This window comes from Homo sapiens, chromosome 1 (genome assembly GCF_000001405.40).
Source record: "Homo sapiens chromosome 1, GRCh38.p14 Primary Assembly".
Taxonomy (NCBI): Eukaryota; Metazoa; Chordata; class Mammalia; order Primates; family Hominidae; genus Homo; species Homo sapiens.
The window spans coordinates 212,304,617-212,327,418 of record NC_000001.11 but is presented as its reverse complement, the minus strand read 5'-3'; the positions used below and the strand labels follow the sequence as shown (position 1 = coordinate 212,327,418).

At 41.2% G+C, this 22,802-nt stretch overlaps 1 protein-coding gene and 1 pseudogene across 2 annotated transcripts in view, besides 3 other annotated features; one reads left to right on the top strand and one right to left on the bottom strand.

The window, feature by feature from the left end:
- The window catches only part of PPP2R5A (protein phosphatase 2 regulatory subunit B'alpha), a 76,444-nt gene that overhangs the window by 34,435 nt on the left and 19,207 nt on the right, over positions 1 to 22,802 (bottom strand). The gene's annotated exons all lie outside the window — the stretch shown is intronic.
- Positions 6,913 to 7,509: an enhancer, noted in NCBI's record as "NANOG-H3K27ac-H3K4me1 hESC enhancer chr1:212493252-212493848 (GRCh37/hg19 assembly coordinates)". NCBI's record gives its function as "activates a minimal SCP1, AML or CMV promoter by ChIP-STARR-seq in naive H9 embryonic stem cells {active_cell/tissue: H9 hESC(naive)}" and the evidence as "EXISTENCE:reporter gene assay evidence [ECO:0000049][PMID:30033119]".
- Positions 10,909 to 11,662: an enhancer, noted in NCBI's record as "OCT4-NANOG hESC enhancer chr1:212489099-212489852 (GRCh37/hg19 assembly coordinates)". NCBI's record gives its function as "activates a minimal SCP1, AML or CMV promoter by ChIP-STARR-seq in naive and primed H9 embryonic stem cells {active_cell/tissue: H9 hESC(naive and primed)}" and the evidence as "EXISTENCE:reporter gene assay evidence [ECO:0000049][PMID:30033119]".
- Positions 11,247 to 11,316: an enhancer, noted in NCBI's record as "active region_2503". NCBI's record gives its function as "activates an Ori minimal core promoter by ATAC-STARR-seq in GM12878 lymphoblastoid cells {active_cell/tissue: GM12878}" and the evidence as "EXISTENCE:reporter gene assay evidence [ECO:0000049][PMID:35858748]".
- Positions 17,890 to 18,416, top strand: RPL23AP18 (ribosomal protein L23a pseudogene 18; annotated as a pseudogene).

Here is a 22,802-nt window from a genome sequence, read left to right as displayed (position 1 = left end):
TATTGTTTTATATTCTACTTATTACAAAAATATGGACACACTGTATTGATTTGATTCTAACAAATGTTAAATCCTTTTGTTTCTAACCTTCAAAACCATAAAACTTCACTTCCGAACTTTCATTCTATAAACAAGGAATTCAATTAGTTCAATCACTTAAGTTTACTGAACTTCTGAAAGTAAATTTTAAAAATCATATTCAACTCTGATATTTATCTCATAATATACAAAACTATGCCTCTATTCAAAACCAGTACATACTTTATATAAAGATACAGGCAGAAATCTTCATAAAGATGATAACCTAATCAAGAATGCCTATGCTTCGTAATTACTCCAGGGCAGGAAGCTAGTAAAATTACCTTTCAATTATATTCAAGTTGCTGTCCTTAAAAAAGCTGATTTAGATAAGGTACTGCTGAACCGTAGTAGGTCAGGTATTCTAAGCATGCTCACACAAAGTCACAAGACATAAGGCACATTCTTTTCATTGATCAATTATTATTAAATAATTTTACAATAAAACAAATGTGGATATATTACAAAGAACAGCAAAAGTCACATGATTTTTGAAGTAAAAATATGAAGACTTGAATTTGCTGCAGTTCATTTGTGGCTATGCCAGTAAAATAAGATAGCTCCACACTTACAAAGAACTTGTATTAACATTTCCTGTTCCAGAATCAATAATGACTCTCTGCTTTATGAAGGTTAAAGTCTATAAGCCTAAGATTGGCATTCAGAATCCATGTAATATTGACATATATGACATTTTTTACTACCAATTTGGTAAAGTTTTTGATTCAGGGTCACTTTTTTTTTGAGACGGAGTCTCACTCTACTGCCCAGGCTAGAGTGTGGTGGCGCGATCTTGGCTCACTGCAACCCCTGCCTCCCAGGTTCATGCAATTTTCCTGCCTCAGCCTCCCAAGTAGCTGGGATTACAGGCCTGCACCACCACGCCCAGCTAATTTTTGTATTTTTTTTAATAGAGATGAAGTTTCACCATGTTGGCCAGCCTGGCCTCAAACTCCTGACCTCAAATGATCCGCCTGCCTCGGCCTCCCAAAGTGCTGGGATTACAGGTGTGAGCCACCTCACCCTGATTCAGGATCACCTTTTATGGAACTGTTCTTAAGTGGGAATATTTTTATGTATCCTTAAAAAAAAAAAAAACATTGAATTTGCAACTATTTTTAATACTAAGTAATATGCTAAACAGTTATCTTTATCCCAGAATTAAAATTCATTCTATTGGGGGTGAAAATGAACCACTAGCCAACATACATGCTACACATAACCAGCAGTCTTATGTTTACTACCTTTTTTTAATCCCAAAATGGCCATTAGTCATTCTAAGCAGAATCTGCTTCTTCTCTGTAAAATCAGTTGTATCTTGAATGGCCCTTTTCTTAAATCTTCTGGGGCTTTTTACCCTTAAAGTTAAAATGGTTATGTGCATTTAATTTTCATTAATAAATGATGTCTGCTAATAATTTATTTCAACTAACAAAAAGATGTCTGCTTGATATTGGTACTTAGTTTGAAAATTAGAAGATGGACACCTCTGCTTATGTATGTACTACACACTAAACGAGATACATGTTGACTATGTGGGCTATAAGAATCCTTCTCAATCCATAGTGTACAGGAAATCCCCATAGTTCTCTCAGTTATTCAGTAATATCTTTATACAGTTATCTATTTTCAAAGATATCTATATCCCTAATATATGGCTTTATTTTATAATATATATCTTTATAATTAATATAAATTCCATAATGATGACTTGGTGAAACAGTTGCCATATCTTGAGAGGCTGCGTTCTAAAAGAGTTTTAAGATATATTTTAGCCCTTTTTCCCTAACGCTAATAGTAATACAAACTCACACAAGATCCCACTTCAATTATGTGATCACCTTATACCGCCAGTCCTATTCTCTCCTTCCTCCCACTACCACCTCCTCAATGTGAATGAAACCAGCCCTCTTATTCTCTGAAGGCCGTGTCTTTGTTCAAAGTCTTTTCCCTACCTGAAATACTTCACTAGATTTCCTCCCCTATCTTTCCATATCCTACTTGCCCTTTAAGAACAAACTTAATCTCACATTCTCCACAAAATTTCCCTTAGGTAGGTCAGGATACAATGATCTCTCCCATCTCTCATGATCTATAGTGTTCACAACTTCAATTACGTATTTGAGTACCCATTATCTTTAGGCCTATATTCAACAGATGTTTCTTTCATCAACCACCAAAAGATTTCAGGCTCCTCAAGGGGAAGGATTATTCACTGAGCAGGGTTTCCTTTTTATTTCTTTTTTATCTAGGGTAGGGTATATAAGGAGTTAATAAATATTTATTTGATGCTTGAAAAAACTCTGAATTTGAAGAATAAGATACTGCACTGAAATACAGTCTACTGAACAAGGAGAAGTTCAAAATTGGTGCTGGATATCAACAGCGACATAAATAATGAATTATTACAACATGGCTATGTTTAAGAATTAATCATGCCAGGTGCGGTGGCTCATGCTTGTAATCCCAGCACTTTGGGAGGCCGAGGTGGGTGGATCACAAGGTAAGAAGATCAAGACCATCCTAGCTAACATGGTGAAACCCTGTCTCTACTAAAAGTAACAAAAAATTAGCCGGGCATGGTGGCAGGCACCTGTAGTCCCAGCTACTCAGGAGGCTGAGGCAGAAGAATGGCGTGAACCCGGGAGGCAGAGCTTGCAGTGAGCCCAGATTGTGCCACTGCACTCCAGCCTGGGGGACAGAGCAAGAAGACTCTGTCTCAAAAAAAAAAAAAAAATTAATCATAATGACCATTTTTATCAACAATCTACCTTGATGGTAGAATTAAATGGATTGAGATAACAATCATGAAGATGAGTGCATATATTTCAAGGTGAAATACAAATGGAAAGTATGTTTTTCTAACACTACAGGCTAAGTAGCCTGTGGCCAGCAAAAAAGAAGACACAAAATGACTTTCAGGATTGGAAAATACAGTCATGCGCCACATAACAAAGTTTTGTCAACAACAGACTGCTTATGTGATGGTGGTCCCATATAAACCTATTTTTACTGTACCTTTTCTTGTTTAGACACACATACACTTCCTTTTGCAAACTGCCTACAGTATTCAGAACAGTAACATGCTGTACAGGTTTGTACACAGCCTAGATGTGTAGTAAACTATACCATTTAAGTTTGTGGAAGTATACTCTATGATGTTCGCACAATGACAAATTTGTCTAATGATGAATTTCTCATTACATAGCCCCATCGTTAAGCATAATCGTAGTAGGTTTAAGAACATGTTACACATTTTTTTTTTTTTTGAGATGGAGTCTTGTTCTGTCGCCCAGGCTGGAGTGCAGTGGTACAATCTCTGCTCACTGCAAACTCCGCCTCCCAGGTTCAAGAGATTCTCCTGCCTCAGCCTCCCAAGTAGCTGGGATTACAGGCACTCACCACCACACCCGGCTAATTTTTCTATTTTTAGTAGAGACGGGGTTTCACCATGTTGGTCAGGCTGGTCTCGATCTCCTGACCTCGTGATCCACCCACCTCGGCCTCCCAAAGTGCTGGGATTACAGGCGTGAGCCACCGTGCCCAGCCCCATGTTACACATTTTTTAAAAAAGACTTTCTCTGGGCACCTAACTCCTGGGTCTCCTCTAGAAAGAAATTAATGTTTTTCATAGCTTATCCATTCAGTAATCCATTTCTTAGCCTAAAAGATGCATTTAAATTTGTTTTTGTTTTTTCTCCCCCAGAACTATATCCCAGCATTACATAATGCTTGGGTGGGATAGGTCACATCTGAATTTTCCCAAACATTAGAAGTATTTAGAAGCAGTTAATGTTACAACTCCATTGGCTCTGGGTTAAAACAGAAGTTTCCAATTCTTGATTATTTTTAGGTATTATGATATAGAAAGATCTTTTCCTAATAAACCCTACCCATTAAGTATATAATGTCTATTGAGCAGTCTGCTGTGCTACGTATTAAAATACAGTACTACTGCTAACGTTAGTACTTCATTCCAAAGACAATTCTAAGTGTTTTATATGCACTAATTTCACACAATCCTTTGAAGCGAATTCTGAGAGATGATTTCCTGTCTTCAAAAGATTAGAAGCAAGTTGAGAAGGCCAGATACAGAACACAGAAAGTAATGCTATCAGGCAAAATGGAAAAGGTACAACCACAGTATATATTTACCACATATATACTGACTATTCTCCACACAATCTGGAATCAAAGGTAATTCAAGAGTGCTTACAAGATTAAATATAAACAGAAAAATTAAAAATGAAATGAGGGCTGGGCACAGTGGCTCACGCCTGTAATCCCAGCACTTTGGGAGGCTGAGGCGGGCAGATCACGAGGTCAGGAGATCGAGACCATCCTGGCTAACACGGTGAAACACCGTCTCTACTAAAAACACAAAAAAATTAGCCGGGCATGGTGGCAGGCACCTGCAGTCCCAGCTACTCGGGAGGCTGAGGCAGGAGAATGGTGTGAACCTGGGAGGCGGAGCTTGCAGTGAGCCCAGATCCCACTACTGCACTCCAGCCTGGGCGACAGAGCGAGACTCCATCTCAAAAGAATGAAATAAATAAATAAATAAATAAATAAATAAATAAATAAAATGAGAATTAATTAAATGCAAGAAAGCTTTACAAGATATTTCACTGCTATATTTAAGGGCTTTTGTTTTTACTAAGTTTCTTGGCAGCTAAGGTAAAACAGTTGTGAAGAGTAGGCCATACTGTAAACGGTTAAATGAGAGAAGCGAAGCTGCTGTCATGTACTGCTGGCTGGCCTACTTGTAGGTTCAAGACATGCAACATTTTTATATAGGTCAAAAACATTTTTATAGTAGTTATCCTGTAACAAAAGATGGTAATCATGGTTTTCATTATTTAAAAAATTATGAAATATTTTGCATTTGTAGATGTAATTAATATGTCCCAACTCTGGTACATTTGTGAAAGAGTAACACTGAATTTTCTCGTAAGAAAAAAGAGCAGAAAATATAAATAGGTTGAAAAAAGATCAGCCTGTCTTCTTGCTATATTTTATAAACATGAGTAACAATCTGTAAGAAGCTCTCCCTCTCCCTCCTCTCCCTCTCCCTCCTCTCCCTCTCCCTCTCCCTCCTCTCCCTCTCCCTCTCCCTCTCCCCACAGTCTCCCTCTCCCCACGGTCTCCCTCTCCCTCTCTTTCCACGGTCTCCCCCTGATGCTGAGCCAAAGCTGGACTGTACTGCTGCCATCTCGGCTCACTGCAACCTCCCTGCCTGATTCTCCTGCCTCAGCCTGCCGAGTGCCTGCGATTGCAGGCGCGCGCCGCCACGCCTGACTGGTTTTCGTATTTTTTTGGTGGAGACGGGGTTTCGCTGTGTTGGCCGGGCTGGTCTCCAGCTCCTAACCGCGAGTGATCCGCCAGCCTGGGCCTCCCGAGGTGCCGGGATGGCAGACGGAGTCGCGTTCACTCAGTGCTCAATGGTGCCCAGGCTGGAGTGCAGTGGCATGATCTCGGCTCGCTACAACCTCCACCTCCCAGCTGCCTGCCTTGGCCCCGCAAAGTGCCGAGATTGCAGCCTCTGCCCGGCGGCCACCCCGTCTGGGAAGTGAGGAGCGTCTCTGCCTGGCCGCCCATCGTCTGGGATGTGAGGAGCCTCTCTGCCTGGCTGCCCAGTCTGGAAAGTGAGGAGTGTCTCTGCCCGGCCGCCATCCCATCTAGGAAGTGAGGAGCATCTCTGCCAGGCCGCCCATCGTCTGAGATGTGGGGAGCACCTCTGCCCTGCCACCCTGTCTGGGATGTGAGGAGCGTCTCTGCCCGGCCGCCCCGTCTGAGAAGTGAGGAGACCCTCTGCCTGGCAACCGCCCCGTCTGAGAAGTGAGGAGCCCCTCCGCCCGGCAGCCACACCGTCTGAGAAGTGAGGAGCCCCTCCGCCCGGCAGCCACTCCGTCTGGGAAGTGAGGAGCGTCTCCGCCTGGCAGCCACCCCGTCTGGGAGGGAGGTGGGGGTCAGCCCCCCGCCCGGCCAGCCGCCCCGTCCGGAAGGGAGGTGGGGGGGTCAGCCCCTCGCCCGGCCAGCCGCCCCGTCCGGGAGGTGAGGGGCGCCTCTGCCCGGCCGCCCCTACTGGGAAGTGAGGAGCCCCTCTGCCCGGCCAGCCGCCCCGTCTGGGAAGGATGTGGGGGGGTCAGCCCCCCGCCTGGCCAGCCGCCCCATCCAGGAGGTGAGGGGCGCCTCTGCCGGCCGCCCCTACTGGGAAGAGAGGAGCCCCTCTGCCCGGCCAGCCGCCCCGTCCGGGAGGGAGGCGGGGGGGTCAGCCCCCCGCCCGGCCAGCCGCCCCGTCCGGGAGGTGAGGGGCGCCTCTACCTGGCCGCCCCTATTGGGAAGTGAGGAGCCCCTCTGCCCGGCCAGCCGCCCCGTCCGGGAGGGAGGCGGGGGGGTCAGCCCCCCGCCCGGCCAGCCGCCCCGTCCGGGAGGTGAGGGGCGCCTCTACCTGGCCGCCCCTACTGGGAAGTGAGGAGCCCCTCTGCCCGGCCAGCCGCCCCGTCCAGGAGGGAGGTGGGGGGGTCAGCCCCCCGCCCGGCCAGCCGCACCATCCGGGAGGTGAGGGGCGCCTCTGCCCGGCCGCCCCTACTGGGAAGAGAGGAGCCCCTCTGCCCGGCCAGCCGCCCCATCCGGGAGGGAGGTGGGGGGGTCAGCCCCCCGCCCGGCCAGCCGCCCCATCCGGGAGGGAGGCGGGGAGGGAGGCAGGGAGGTCAGCCCCCCGCCCGGCCAGCTGCCCCGTCCGGGAGGGAGGCGGGGGGGTCAGCCCCCCGCCCGGACAGCCGCCCCGTCTGGGAGGTGAGGGGCGCCTCTGCCCGGCCGCCCCTACTGGGAAGTGAGGAGCCCCTCTGTCCAGCCACCACCCCGTCTGGGAGGTGTACTCAACAGCTCATTGAGAACGGGCCATGATGACAATGGCGGTTTTGTGGAATAGAAAGGGGGGAAAGGTGGGGAAAAGATTGAGAAATCGGATGGTTGCCATGTCTGTGTAGAAAGAGGTAGACATGGGAGACTTTTGATTTTGTTCTGTACTAAGAAACATTCTTCTGCCTTGGGATCCCGTTGATCTGTGACCTTACCCCCAACCCTGTGCTCTCTGAAACATGTGCTGTGTCCACTCAGGGTTGAATGGATTAAGGGTGGTGCAAGATGTGATTTGTTAAACAGATGCTTGAAGGCAGCATGCTCGTTAAGAGTCATCACCACTCCCTAATCTCAAGTACCCAGGGACACAAACACTGCGGAAGGCCGCAGGGTCCTCTGCCTAGGAAAACCAGAGACCTTTGTTCACTTATCTGCTGACCTTCCCTCCACTATTGTCCTGTGACCCTGCCAAATCCCCCTCTGCGAGAAACACCCAAGAATGATCAATAAAAAAAAAAAAAAAAAAAAACAATCTGTAAGAAAAAGAACACATAGGCTGGGCACAGTGGCTCATGCCTGTAATCCCAGCACTTTGGAAGGCTGAGACGGGCGGATCACCTGAGGTCAGGAATTTGAGACCAGCCTGGCCAACATGGTGAAACCCCACCTCTACTAAAAATACAAAAAAATTAGCCGGGTGTAGTGGCGCACACCTGTAATCCCAGCTACTCGGGAGACTGAGACAGGAGAATCGCTTGAACCCGGGAGGCAGAGGGTGCAGTGAGCCGAGATCGCGCCATTGCACTCCAGCCTGGGCAACAAGAGCAAAACTCCGTCTCAAAAAAAAAAAAAAAAAAAGAAAAGAAAACAAAAAGAACACATAATAAATCTGTTAAATGTAAAAAGCACAGACAATATCTGCACTGGCCACTTTATTCTTCAGCTTCTCCGTTTTAAGAATTCTTGCAAATGAAGTCTGTCATAATGATGTTTTAGTCTGGCAATTGGGCTGATGTTGATTATCCATTTGCCATTCTCACTACGGATGATAACGTCCATTCTGATTCCTACGGTGACAACTTGCTCACCTGGCATTCTCCCTGCAAGAGATGCTGATATTTTCTATCAGAATTTCACTTAAAGGTTTAAAAATGAAAACATCTTTAGAAACAAACAAGTTCACAGGAAAAATTCACAACACCTTATAGCACTGCATCATCAGCAACTAGAGTTGTGGCTGACAAGGTACCTTTTGGATCATGCCCTGAGTACTACAACACAGTAGTTTGCTCAGTCACTCTGAATTTAATTATTACAAGAGGTCCAAGTTTTTGTTGGGGCAATTTTAACCAGGTTTTCTTGAACTGATGACATATATCTGTTTCAAATGGATGCTGATTTCTTCCAAAATGTATAAATAAATGAGTAAATAAGAGATGAGTATTTAAGGTCCTAGTGACCTCTATTTAAATGAAGAGAATGTCCTACACATAAATTTATAAGTATACAGTTGATCTGCATTATCCATGGGGACAAGTTCCTGGACTCCCCCAGATACAAAAATCTGAGGATGCTCAAGTCCCTTATGTAAAATGGTCTAGTATTTGCATTAACCTATGCATAGCCTCCTGTATACTTTAAATCATGTCTATATTACTTATACCTAATACAATGTAAATGCTATGTAAACAGTTGTTATATTATTTAAGGAATAATGACCTGAAAAAAAAGTCTCTACATAGTCTGTATAGATTCTTCCTCCCTTCCCTGGAGTATTTTTGATCCAAGGTTGGTTGAATCCACAGATGTGGAACCCACAGATATGGAGGGCCAACTGTATTTTGATCTTCCCAAGTATTAACCAAGGAGCAATTCAGACTACTATCTACTATCATGGTATACCATATTTAACAATTTCAAATGCCTTAAGTCTTTTTGTTGCCTCAAGGAAATTTGACTATGCACTTAATATATGTAATAACCTGCAGTATCAACTTGTAGTCATCTCTTCAGCATCAGAGCTAAGGATTTACTAAAAGCATTCTTCCAAAAATAAAAAATAAAAAAATTTAAAAGCAGCATTCTTCTAGAAAATATCACTAAATCCACAATATAAAAAGCTCTGCATGAATATTATGAAAGGTACAACAAACTGCACAATCTAGGAATTACCTTAAAAAAAAAACAGATATGCCTTGCTTTGCTAAATACATAATTAATTTAAATTTGACTAAAAGATGTGTTTTTAAAGCACATTTTAAACTGTACTTCAATTTATTATGACTGCCACTTGATCTCACTAAAGATAATTCTCAACACTGTAAAAATCCCTGCATGGCCTCAAGCCAAGGGCCAAGGGTGACTCAAGATAACTCTAGGGAAAGGCACAATTTCATCTTTGGAGGATTATTAACATACCTTTTAAAACTCACAAAAGCCCCGCTAGGTTTTTCCCAAATTCTTACGTCTTTTTCAATACTCAACTTGAAAATATATTTGGCTCACACTTTTTTTTTTAATTTTTTTTTTGAGATTGAGTCTCAGCTCACTGCAACCTCTGCCTCCCAGGTTCAAGCGATTCTCCTGCCTCAGCCTCCCAAGTAGCTGGGACTACAGGCGCCCACCACCACACTCAGCTAATTTTTGTATTTTTAGTAGAGACGAGGTTTCACCATCTTGGCCAGACTGGTCTCGAACTCCTGACTTTGTGATCCGCCTGCCTCGGCCTCCTAAAATGCTGGGATTACAGGCGTAAGCCACTGAACCTGGCCCTGGCTCACACTTTTAAGAAATACTGCTCTAGTATACTGTTTTTCAAAGTGTAGGTTGCACGCCATTGGTGGGCAGTAAGATCAAGTTAGTGGGTCACAATCAAGAGTTTAAAAAAAAAAAATCAGAGTGTATTGCACGTAAGGATATTATGTCATGGAAGTATGTAAGTTATGAAGTAAAATGTGTTTCTCACTATAGTCTGCAGTGAAAACGAGTTTGAAAACCACTGCTTTACAGTATGTGAAGTACTTCAGGATCCCACACTACACAGCATGCCCAAGATCATAAAGCAAATTTGTACTGAAGCTGGGTATGAGAATACTGTTTTTGAAATATCAAATGTTCCTTTAAAAGCTGTATTCTAAATCGTTACCCATTAGAGATTCACAGTACATATCAGTTAAAAATGGCAATTTTGTTTTTCTCCCCTTCCCTCTAAAATGAGAGTAGACCCCCCACCAAAAAAAAGAGATAAAAACCCACAATAACAGAGAACAGAAAAATAGGCCCATAGGCAAGAGACTTCAACAAATTTCAGCGAAAACTCAAAGTAGGTAGAGAAGTGGTAACTGGCAAAACTAAGAGGAAGTCAAGTCCTAGAATAAAAAGGGGGAATACAGGCAAGGGTCCTACAGAACTTCAGATTAGTTCAAGATTAAGAAATATCTAGTGAAACAGTGGAAAGGATTAAGACATGAACTGAAATGGGGGATTAAATAAAAGTCTGGACTTGCTGAAGAGTCTACCATCCCACTCCAAAAGACAGTCAAGCATTCACGCTTCAGACAAAAGAAAATTAGAAGGTTCTTCCCTAAAGAAACTGAACAGTGCCAGAGGAGGTTCCTACATTCCAGCATGTAACTAGATCCCTAACCAATTACTCTAAACAAAACCAGATAATCAATAAGCCCCAACCAACTCTTACAGTAATTTTTTGTTTATCCATACATATTAATGGAAAATAAAGGATCGCCAGAGACTGCAACATGACATAAAACCAAATACAGAGAAATACATGATCCCAAAGGGATAATTTAGCACATTACTGAAAATTCAGATGCCCAGGAGAGAAGAATAAAAGCTTTCAGATTAAAAAAAAAAAAAAAAAAAAAAAAAAGTCACCCACAAAGGTTAAATATCCATGGAATTTCTTATCAGCAGAAGTCATGCCAGAAGATAATGGGGCTATCCTATTAGAATTCTAATGCCAGTCTAGAACTCTGTAACTAGTCAACTATCAATTAAGTACAGAGGTTCAGGAAGGGCATTTTTAGACATGTTCTGGATTAGGCTTTGGCTTAAGGAAATGTTATGGCTGTTTGATCTTCTATTCAGACCACTCAAACTTTCTCCAAATCAACAATAAGGCTGTTTTGCTTTCCTATCATTCATGCGGTCACTGGAGTAGCACTTTTAATGTCCTTCAAGAGCTCTTCCTTTGCATTCACAACTTGGCTGTTTGGTACAAGAGGCCTAGCTTTTGGCCAATCACAGCTTTCAACATGCCTTCCTCACTAAGCTTAATCATTTCTAGCTTCTGATTTAAAGTGAGGTGTGAGACTCTTCCTTTCACTTCAACACTTAGCAGCCATTGCAGAGGTATTTAATTGGCCTAATCTCAATTTTGTTGTGTCTCAGGGAATAGGGAGGCCCAAGGAGAGGAAGAAAGACCAGGAAATGGCCAGTTGGTGGAGCCATCAGAACACAAACAACACCTACTGATTAAGTGTGACATCTTATATGGCTATGGTTCATGATGCCCCAAAACAATTACAATAGTAACATTAAAGATCACTAATTGGAGGCGATCATAACAGATATATATTGAGAGAATCTCCAAAATGTGACACAGAGACACAAAGCGAGCACATGCTATTGGAAAAATGGGACCAACAGACTTGCTCAATGCAGGTTTGCCAAAAACCTTCCATTTGTTTTAAAAAAATAAAACACACAATATCTGGGAAATGCAATACAGTGAAGCACAATACAATGAGATGTACTTGTATGTATACTTCATATTTACATAAAATTAAAATATCAGAGAAATAATAAAATCTACATAGTTGAGTATATAGCCTGGCTTATTTCAATGACTCATTCAATATTAGCAAACTTTGTGAGAATTTTTCGAAGTAAATTAGAATCTTTAGGAAAATGTTGCAAAGAAGTTTTACATTATGTTCTTTAATGTCGATTTATGAAACCTACTTAGGAAGACTGTACAACTAAATTAAGAGGTCTTTAAGACAAGTTTGGGTGTTATAACTCTGTGTAATATATATCTGACTACAGAAATGTCATGGAAAATGAAACCTCATTCTCAACCACACAGGGATGTTAGTACACTCTCAATAGACAGTAAGTCCAGTTTCCCAAGAAGCATAGTGTTCATGATGAATTTTCAATGTCTGAGTCTATTCCTCTGCCTTACAAACTCAGGTATGTTTTTAAAAATCATACATAATACAAATACAAATTCTCCAAGCTCATAAGACAGTAATAAATACTAATTTATTAATTCAGGATGAGAAACTATTCCCCATATACTATATTAGAATATTCTGATTATGTGTTCCCATAGGAAAAGTTATAAAACAAGCCAAATCATAACATAAGCATAATGATGCCTGGGGTATTCATTTTCTATTCTTAGTAACAAATTATCCCAAAATTCTGTGGCTTAAAACAATTATTAGGCTGGGCGTGGTGGCTTATGCCTGTAATCCCAACACTTTGGGAGGCTGAGGCAGGAGAACTGCTTGAGCCCAGGAGTTGAAGACCAACTTGGGCAACACAGCAAGAACTTGTCTCTACGAAAAATTTAAAATTTAGCTACACTTGGCTGGGCACAGTGGCTCATGCCTGTAATCCCAACACTTCGGGAGGCTGAGGTGGGCGGATCACTTCAAGTCAGGAGTTGAGACCAACCTGGCCAATATGGTGAAACCTCATCTCTACTAAAATACAAAAAAAAAAATTAGCCAGGCATGGTGGCACGTGCCTGTAGTCCCAGCTACTCAGGAGACTGAGGCAGGATAATCGCTTGAACCCGGGAAGTGGAGTTTGCAGTGAGCTGAGACTTGAGCCACTGCACTTCACCCTGGGCATCACAGCGAGACACCATCTCAAAAAAAAAAAAAAAAATAGGCTTGGTGGCACACACCTGTAGTTCCAGCTACTTGGAGGCTGAAGTGGGAGGACTGCTTGAGGCCAGAGGGTTGAGGCTGCAATAAGCTGTGATCATGCACTCCAGCCTGGACAACAGTACTGGAGTTTAAGATGGGTTTTTTAAGAACCCATCTTAAAAAAACAACAACAACAAAAAAAAACTACCTTTCTCAATTTCTTTGTGTCAGGGATTCAGAAAGGATAGAACAGGGATAGCTTATCTCTGCTCCATGATGTCTAAGGCCTCAGCTAAAGGACTAGAAAACTAGAGGATGGAATTCTGAGAAGGCTAAATAACTCTTATGTCTGGTAGTTGCTGGCTTTTGGCTGACAGACTAGCTGGGGCTAGTACCAGAACCTCCAACATATAGCCTCTCCATGCGGTCTGAGCTCCCTCATAATATGGTAACTGTGTTCCAAGGGCAATGAATCTGAGAAGTCTAACGAAAAACAAGCAAAGCTCTTATGAATATAATTATAAAACATTCTTGAAATGTATGAAAGAGATAAATAAATGGAGATATATTATATTCATGGATGAGAAGAATCAATGTTTTCCCCCAATGAATCTATACAAGGAATACAATTCAGATTAAATTCTCAATAGGGTATTTTGGTGGAACCATTAGAGTTGTTCTTAAAAATGCGTCTGGAAAAATAAAGTGCCAAGAATAGCCAAGATGATTTTTAACATGAAGAAGGGAAGAGTCATCTTACCACATTTAGTAATTAAAACCACATGGTGTTGTGCAGGAATTCACAGACCACTGAGGAAAAAAAAATAAGGCACTTAGAAACATGCCAGTGTACACATACAAAAGGTTAGTATATAATACGGTTGGTGTTTTTTTTTTTAAAGTCAGTAGGAAATATTTAAAGTTCAATAAATTATTCCAGCTACTCATATGAAAAAAATTAAAATTAGATCCTTCCTTCACACACAAAAATTAGTTCCGAAAGAACTAAAAAATTAAATGTGGACAAGAAATTGGTATACAGAATGTACAAAAGAACACCTACAAATCATTAAGAAAAAAACCCAAAATCTATAGGAAAAAAAGGTCACATGAAACATAAATGACCGATAAGTATATGAAAAGATATTCAACCACACTGGTAACCAAAAAAATGTAAGTATGTATAAACAGTATACACGAATTTATACATGAAATGTCATACATCACTTTATACCTATTGGGTAAGAATGACAAAAAGTGTGGGCAAGACTTCTTCCAGAAGACTATCCTTTCCACTGTAAACTACTAAAAACTGAACAAAATATATAAAACAATTGTTTTCAGATGCTAGAAAACAGGCAGTACAGGACTGTGATCGCTGTGGGAAGGAAAACAAAGCCCCACAATCGCACCAGCTCCCTATCTGCTAGGGCTCTCCAGAGAGAGAAAGCACAGGAAAAAGAAACCCTAAAAGAACAACAGATTTAATGAGCAAAATAAAGACTAGAGATAGGGCTACTGAGGTGGCTAGGATTTGCATAGGAAAGTACTAAACAGAAGGCAACTATACAGAGAAGGAACTTTCTATTTTCTCTATTTATGTTGAAGTGATAATTTTTATTTTATTCTATTTATGTAACAAATCATTTTTTTAATGTAAAACCAGCCTTGCATTCCTGGCATAAATCCCACATTATCAAAATATCTCATTCTATTTATATATTTCAAATTCAATTTGTTAATATTTTGTATACAACTTTAAAAAAATCTATGTTCATAAGGGATATTGGTCTATAATTTTCTTGTAATTTCCCTGTTGGGGTTTTAAATTAGGAATCAGTCAAAGAGATACATAACTATTCAGATTTTTGTTTCTTCTTGTGTCAGTTTCAGAAAGCTGTTTATTTCAAGGAATTCTCCCATCTCCTCTTAGGTTTTCAGATTTATTGGCATGATTATGTACCTGAAAGCTATGAAATCCTAAATAAGGCTAAGATACTAATTATTACTACAAAAAAAGCTAAAATTCTAGTCCAGAGGGAGATCAACTTCTGACAAGACAAGGTGAGAAGTTCCACAGGCCTACTCACCAGGGAAACTGATAGAAGTTATGTTTAAAACAGCCATTTTTATAGCCTCTGAAATGGTCCTAAGGGCAAACAGCAAAAAAATATCTATTCAGGAATATCTATGAAAATTCAGTTAGAATACCAAGAGCTAGTGGTACAGTCATGCATCACTTAAAATGACAGAAATACATTCTGAGAATGCATCCTCAGGCAGTTTCATCATTGTGTGAATATCAGAATGTTTTACACAAACTTAGATGGCACAGCCTACTACACGCCTAGGCTATATGGTAGAGCCTACTGCTCCTAGGCTACAAAACTGTCAGCATGCTACTATACTAAATACTATAGGCAACTGTAAGTGTATCCAAATATAGAAAGGTGCAATAAAAAATATGGTATAAAAGATTTAAAAATGGCACATCTGTCTAGGACACTTAACATGAATAGAGCTTACAAGACTGGAAGTTGCTCTGGATGAGTAAGTGGTGAGTGAATGTGAAGGCCTAGGACATTACTGTACACTACTATAGACTTTATAAACGGTATATTTAGGCTACCCTAAATTTATTTAAAACATTTTCTTTCTCCAATAATGACCTTAGCTTACTGTAACTTTATATAAACTTTAAAATTTTAACTTTTTTACTCTTTTGCAATAACATAGCTTAAAACACACACTGTACAGCTGTATAAAAATATTTTTTCTATCAGTAGTCTATAAGCTTTTTTCTATTTTTCAGACTTTTTAACTTTTTAAACTTTTTTGTTAAAAACTAAGACACAAACACAGATGGCTTAGGCCTACCCAGGGTCAGGATCATCTACGTCACTGTCTCATCTCCACATCTTCTAGAATACCTCCTGAAGGGCCTGCCTGAGGCTGCTTTACAGCTAACTTTTTTTTTTGTAATAAGTAGAAGGAGCACACTCTAAAATAATGATAAAAATAGTATAATAAATACATAAGCCAGTAACATTTATTATCAAGTATTATGTATTGTACATAATTGTATATGCTATATATACTTTTTTTTTTTTTGAGACGGAGTCTTGCTCTGTCGCCCAGGCTGGAGTGCAGTGGCACGATCATGGCTCACTGCCTCCGCCTCCCGGGTTCATGCCATTCTTCTGCCTCAGCCTCCGGGAGCAGCTGGGACTACAGGCGCCTGCCACCACACCCGACTAATTTTTCGTATTTTTAGTAGAGACGGGGTTTCACCGTGTTAGCCAGGATGGTCTCGATCTCCCGACCTCGTGATCCGCCTGCCTCAGCCTCCCGAAGTGCTGGGATAGGCTTGAGCCACCATGCCTGGCAGCTATATATACTTTTATATGATAGTGCAGCTGGTTTTTTTACACTGGCATCACCATAAACATGTGAGTCATGCCTTGTTCTATGAACTAAAGCTACATCACTAGGGGACAGGAATTTTTCAGCTCCACTGTAATATTTTGGGACCACCATCCTATATACCACGTCATGGACCAAAACATCGTTATGCAGCACATGACTGTATTTTAAGCAAGAGAGCTCCTTCCCCCTTGGCTCAGCTATGTAGAAACCCTACTTCAAAGAGACGCAGAGGAGAACACAGGGCTCTTCCTCTACTTCTAGCTCCCAGACATCTTTAGGTAAGGAGTAGGACCTATCAGCATTTCTCATCCTTTCCACAGCAACTTATTGTTGCTGAGGATAAGTTCTAGACAAGTGCAACTGAAAGGCAGGCCTCCTTTCTTCTGCCCAACCTCCACGCATGGGGCAGAGGCTCTACCTTTTGTGCAACACTGCTAAAAAAATAACTGGGGCCTCAATCACCTTTGTTCTGGCCTATAAAGTTGTGATTCCACACTGGAAGAGGCAAGCCAAAAAGAAGACCTCGGGCTGCTGCTCCCACTTCCCCAAACTGCTCAGCTTCTAAAGCAGGGTTTCAGAAAGAAGCATACAATTGTCCCCACTCCCAGCTCTGAGCCCCGACTCCAGAGATTTTGTGGGGGATGGGGGAGAAGTAGGCCATAAAACAGTTAGCTCTTCATCTTTTCCCAAAACAACTGACTTCTTTACAACAGGGCATTAAAAAAAATGTTCAAGCCTAAGGGTACTCTTAAAAACAGTGGAGGTTTTGGTGAAAGATAATGGGGAGATCTGTAAATTCAATGAGGATACAGACTAAACTGTAGGCTAGTTATTTTTCAGGAGAGACAAAAAAAAAAACCCAGCAGTGTGGAGCCCTCCTGATGTTAGAACAAATATCACATACTGACCTTGGGAACTATTCCTTCAAAGGAGCCTGGATTTGATTGGATTAGTCTGTAGAACAATGTGTGCCCCAAAGCATTATTGAAAACAATTGAGCAATCAGCTGAAAATCAATGGAACTTAACAGCTGGGAGTATGGTCAGGAAAAGACAAAGAGAACCCTGCCAAAACCACTGTCATCCCAAGGTGCCTGGGCATATCCAAAGCTGCACCTCTCTGAGGAACAAGATCAGAGGCTTTACAAAGTATGGGGGAAAACTACACCCAGTCACTAAACAAACAAGTGACAATAACAAGGTTGGTACCAAGAGTTGCTACAATATATTATTTAAAACAGCCGAGTCCAACCCTTAGGATGTGAGGACTTTTTTGCTTATCTGTGGTGGTGGGTATCACAAAAATTATGCATGAACTTTTTTTTTTCTTTTAGCTCGTCAGCTATCGTTAGTGTTAGTGTATTTTATGTGTGGCCCAAGACAATTCTTCCAATGTGGCCCAGGGAAGCCAAAAGGTTGGATACCTGTTATTTTAAATGTCCAGTTAATAACAAAACGCACAAAGAAACAGGAAAAATATAACCCATGTGCCAGAAAAAAAGAAGGTTGTAGAACCTGCCTGTGAGAGTGACCGTATGTTGGATTTAACAGAATATATGACTTTAAAGTAGTCATTATATATGTTCAAAGAACTAAACTATGATTAAAGAAGTAAAGAAGGGCTTTTCACAAGATGGCGCCGAAAGCGAAGAAGGAAGCTCCTGCCCCTTCTAAAGCCGAAGACAAAGCGAAGGCTTTAAAGGCCAAAAAGGCAATGTTGAAAGGTGTCCACAGCCACAAAAAAAAGAAGATCCGCACGTCACCCACCTTCCGGCGGCCCAAGACACTGCGACTCCGGAGGCAGCCCAAATATCCTCGGAAGAGCGCCCCCAGGAGAAACAAACTTGACCACTATGCTATCATCAAGTTTCCGCTGACCACTGAGTCTGCCATGAAGAAGATAGAAGACAACAATACACTTGTGTTCATTGTGGATGTTAAAGCCAACAAGCACCAGATTAAACAGGCTGTGAAGAAGCTCTATGACACCAATGTGGCCAAGGTCAACACCCTGATTCGGCCTGATGGAGAGAAGAAGGCATATGTTTGACTGGCTCCTGATTACAATGCTTTGGATGTTGCCAACAAAATCGAGATCATCTAAACTGAGTCTAGCTGGCTAAATATATATATATATCTTTTCACCATAAAAAAAGAAGAAAGGTATGATGACAATGTTACATCAAACAGAGAATATCATAAAGAGATAGAATTTACAAAAAGAAAAAAGGAATAAAATGAAAATCCTGGAGTTGAAAAACATAATAGCAAAATAAACTAAAGGGACCCATGAGGAGACGAGAACTGGCATTAGAAAGAATTGGGGAACTTGAAAATACATCAACAGAAATTATGCAATCTGAAGAACAGAAAGAAAAAAGAATGAAGAAAAATAAACAGAACTTCAGAGACCTATAGGACACCATTAAGTGTACCAACACACAGCCAGGTGCGGTGGCTCAGGCCTGTAATCCCAGCACTTTGGGAGGCCGAGGCGGGAGGATCACCTGAGGTCAGGAGTTTGAGACCAGCCTAGCCAGCATAGCAAAACTCTGTCTCTACTAAAAATACAAAAATTAGCCGGGCATGGTGGCAGGTGCCTGTAGTCCCAACTACTCAAGAGGGTGAGGCAGGAGAATCACTTGAACCTGAGAGGCACAGGTTGCAGTGAGCCAAGATCATGCCACTATACTCCAGCCTGGGCAACAGAGCAAGACTCCATCTCAAAAAAAAAAAAAAAAGTGTACCAACATAATGTATTGAGTAACATAAACCTAACACAAGAAACTCCAAGAAGGATAAACTCAACAAGATCCACAAATAAACATCACAGTAAAAATGATGAAAGTCAAAGACAAGGAGAAAACCTTGAAAGCACCAAGAGAAAAACAACTAGTTACTTTCAAGGGCTAAGATAACAATTGACTTCTTAGCAAAAACAACTGAGGCCAGAAAACAGTGGAATAACATATTCAAAGTGCTCAAAGAAAAACAAAAACTTGTCACCAAAAATCCTATATCCAATAAAACGATCTTTCAAAAATGAAGGCTTGGGAGCTGAGGCAGGTGGACTCAGGAGTTCAAGATCAGCCTGGGCAACAGTTGAGAACCTGTCTCTACAAAAAAATACAAAAATTAGCCAGGTGTGGTGGCAGATATTCTGAGGCAAGAAGATAACTTCTTGGAGGCTGAGGCAAGAAGATAACTTGAGCTCAGGAGGCAGAGGTTGCAGTGAGCCAAGATCACGCCACTGCACTCCAGCCTGGGCACTAGAGCGAGACCGTATCTCGAGAAGTATTTAAATCTTTAAAATATGAAGGCAAAATGAAGACGTTCCCAAATAAATAAAAACGAAGAATTTTTTGCTAGCTGTTCTACCTTATAGAAACACTAAAGGATTTCCTTCAGGCTCAAGCATATGACCACCAATGATAGCTTGAAATCTGTATTTAAAAACATAGAGCACCAGTAAAGATAATTATGTAACTATAAAGTACATTATAAGTGCCTATTTTTCTTTCTTCTCTTACCTGATTTTAACAGCCATTACACAAAATAATATTATATAATGTACCATTGGACGGTTGATACATAGAAATGTAATGTATTTGCTAATAACAGCACAAAGGAGGAGGTGGGAGGAAAGTTGTGCTGCATTAAAGAAATAACTACTGATGGTAAAGTAATAATTATAACAATATATTCTCGGGGTTGTAACATTAACAGATATTATATAACACTAATATCACAAAAAAGGAGGAAAGGAAACAGAGGCATATAGGAATAATGATTCTACATCTCACTAGAACAAAGCTTGTATAAATTTGAAGCTGATTCTAATAAGTTAAAATGCATATAATAAACCCAAGGGCAGCCACTAAAAAAAAAAAACTCTCAAAAATATGTAGTGAAAAATAATCATTACACAAGTTTAAATGCTGCATTAGAAAATATTCACTTAATACTAAAGAAAACAGAAAAAGAATACAATAGAGAACAAAAAAAGACATGAGGGACAGAGAAAACGGAAAGTAAAATGGCAGGCATAAATCCAACTATATGAACAACTACATTAAGTGTAAATGGATTAACCGGAGGGGCATGGTGACTCACGCCTGTAATCCCAGCACTTGGGAGGCACAGGTGGGTGGATCACAAGGTCAGGAGTTCAAGACCAGCCTGGCCAAGATGGTGAAACCCTGTCTCTACTAAAAACTACAAAAAGAATTAGCCAGGCATGGTGGCAGGTACCTGTAAGCCCAGCTACTCGGGAGGCTGAGGCAGGAGAATTGCTTGAACCCTGGCAGCAGAGGTTGCAGTGAGTGGAGATCGCGCCACTACACTCCATCCTGGGTGACCGAGGAAGATTCTGTTTCAATAAATAAATAAATAAATAAATAAATAAATAAATGTAAATGGATTAACCAAGCCCATCAAAAGGTAGAGATTGTCAAACTGAATTTTTAAAAAATGATCTAAGTCTCCAGAAGATACAATTTAAATTTAAAAATACAAGTAGATTGAAAATAAAAAGATGAAAAATAATATATCATGTAAACAACCATAAGAAAGCTGGAGTGGCTATACCAGTATTAGATAAAACAGACTTTAAAAAAATAGGTAAATGTTTGACATATACAGAAAACTTTTGTCTCATATCTTAAATAGATATATATATCAAACTGTATATATTTTTAAAGTCTGTTTTGTTTGATATTAGTGTGGGATATGATGAGGTTTCTCTTCAAATAATCTGATCAATCTTTTATTTTTTAATTCGTAGTTACCCCCCCTCCATTCTTCTCCTTTTTTCCCCTTTTCCCTTCTTGCCTTTGTTAAATGCCCAGGCACGCCACACTACCAAGTGTTATCAGTACCAGCTCACATTCCTTTCCTTATTTGGAAAGAGGACTAACTTTATGGCTCATTACAGACACCCCTTCCCCTATTCTCTCCACTTTCCTTTACGTGCCCACCCTATCTAAAAAAAATACAATGTTTAGCCAACCAGGATTAGTTTAGATTGTACGACCCGACCCCGGCCAATGGGGAAAGGGTACAGGGGCAGGACTTGCATCAGGAATAAAGGCTCTCGTGCCCCTTTGTTCAGGTGTGCTCTCAGGACAACTGGCCAGGGAGGCACCCTCTGTGCAGAAGTAAAATTGCTTTGCTAAGAATCCTTTGTTCAAGTGTTCAATTTCCTTAGGATTTTGAGTGTTATTCCTAACATTAGTATAGCCACTCCAGTTTTCTTGTGGCTGTTTGGATATATATTATTTTTCATCTTTATATCTTATTTAGATATAAATATCATTATATAAAGATACTCTTTATCTCATATCTAAAGAGAGTCATTTTGTAATGATAGAAGGGTCAGTCTTTCAGGAAGAGGGTAACAATTATAAACATATTTGCACCTATTAACACAGTACCAAAATATATGAAGAAAAACTGACAGAAACAAAGAGAGAAATAGAAAATTCAAAAGCAATGATAGTTGAAGCCTTCAACACCCCACTTTCAATAATGGATAGAACAATTAGGTGGAAGATCAACAAGAAGAAGACTTTGAACACACATAAACCAACCACACCTAAGAGGTGTCTATGGAACACTACAGAATTTATACTCACTATAGAACACTCCACCCAACAACAGGAGAATATATATTCTCAAGCACACATGGTACATCCACCAGGAAAGACCAGACCACATACCAGATAATAAAACAAACCTCAAAAATTTTAAAAGAACAGAAATACAAACTATGTTCTCTGACCACAAAGGAATGAAGTTAGAAATCAGTAACATTAAAAAATTGGGGGCTGGAGCCGGGCGCGGTGGCTCACACCTGTAATCCCAGCACTTTGGGAGGATCACAAGGTCAGGAGATAGAGACCATCCTGGCTAACACGGTGAAACCCCATCTCTACTAAAAATACAAAACATTAGCCAGGCGTGGTAGCGGGCGCCTATAGTCCCAGCTTCTTGGGAGGCTGAGGCAGGAGAATGGCGTGAACCCGGGAGGCGGAGCTTGCAGTGAGCTGAGATGGAGCCACTGCACTCCAGCCTGACAGAGAGCGAGACTCCGTCTCAAAAAAAAAAAAAAAAAAAAATTGGGGGCCGGGTGTGGCAGCTCCCACCTGTAATCCCAGCACTCAGGGACGCAGGGGTGGGTGGCTAATGAGGTCAGGAGATCAAGACCATCCTGGCCAACATGGTGAAACCCCATCTCTACTAACAATACAAAAATTAGCCAGGCATGGTGGTGTGTGCCTGTAGTCCCAGCTACTCAGGAGGCTGGGGCAGGAGAATCGCTTGAACCTGTGAGGTGGGGGTTGCAGTGAGCCGAGATCATGCCACTGCACTCCAGCCTGGGCAACAGAGTGAGACTCTGTTCTCAAAAAAAAAAAAAAAAAACTGGGGCCGGCCTTGGTAGCATGTACCTGTAAGCTCAGTTACTTGAGAGGCTTAGGCAACAAGGATCCCTTTGAGGCCAGGAGTTAAGAGGCCACAGCATACTATTATAGCATCT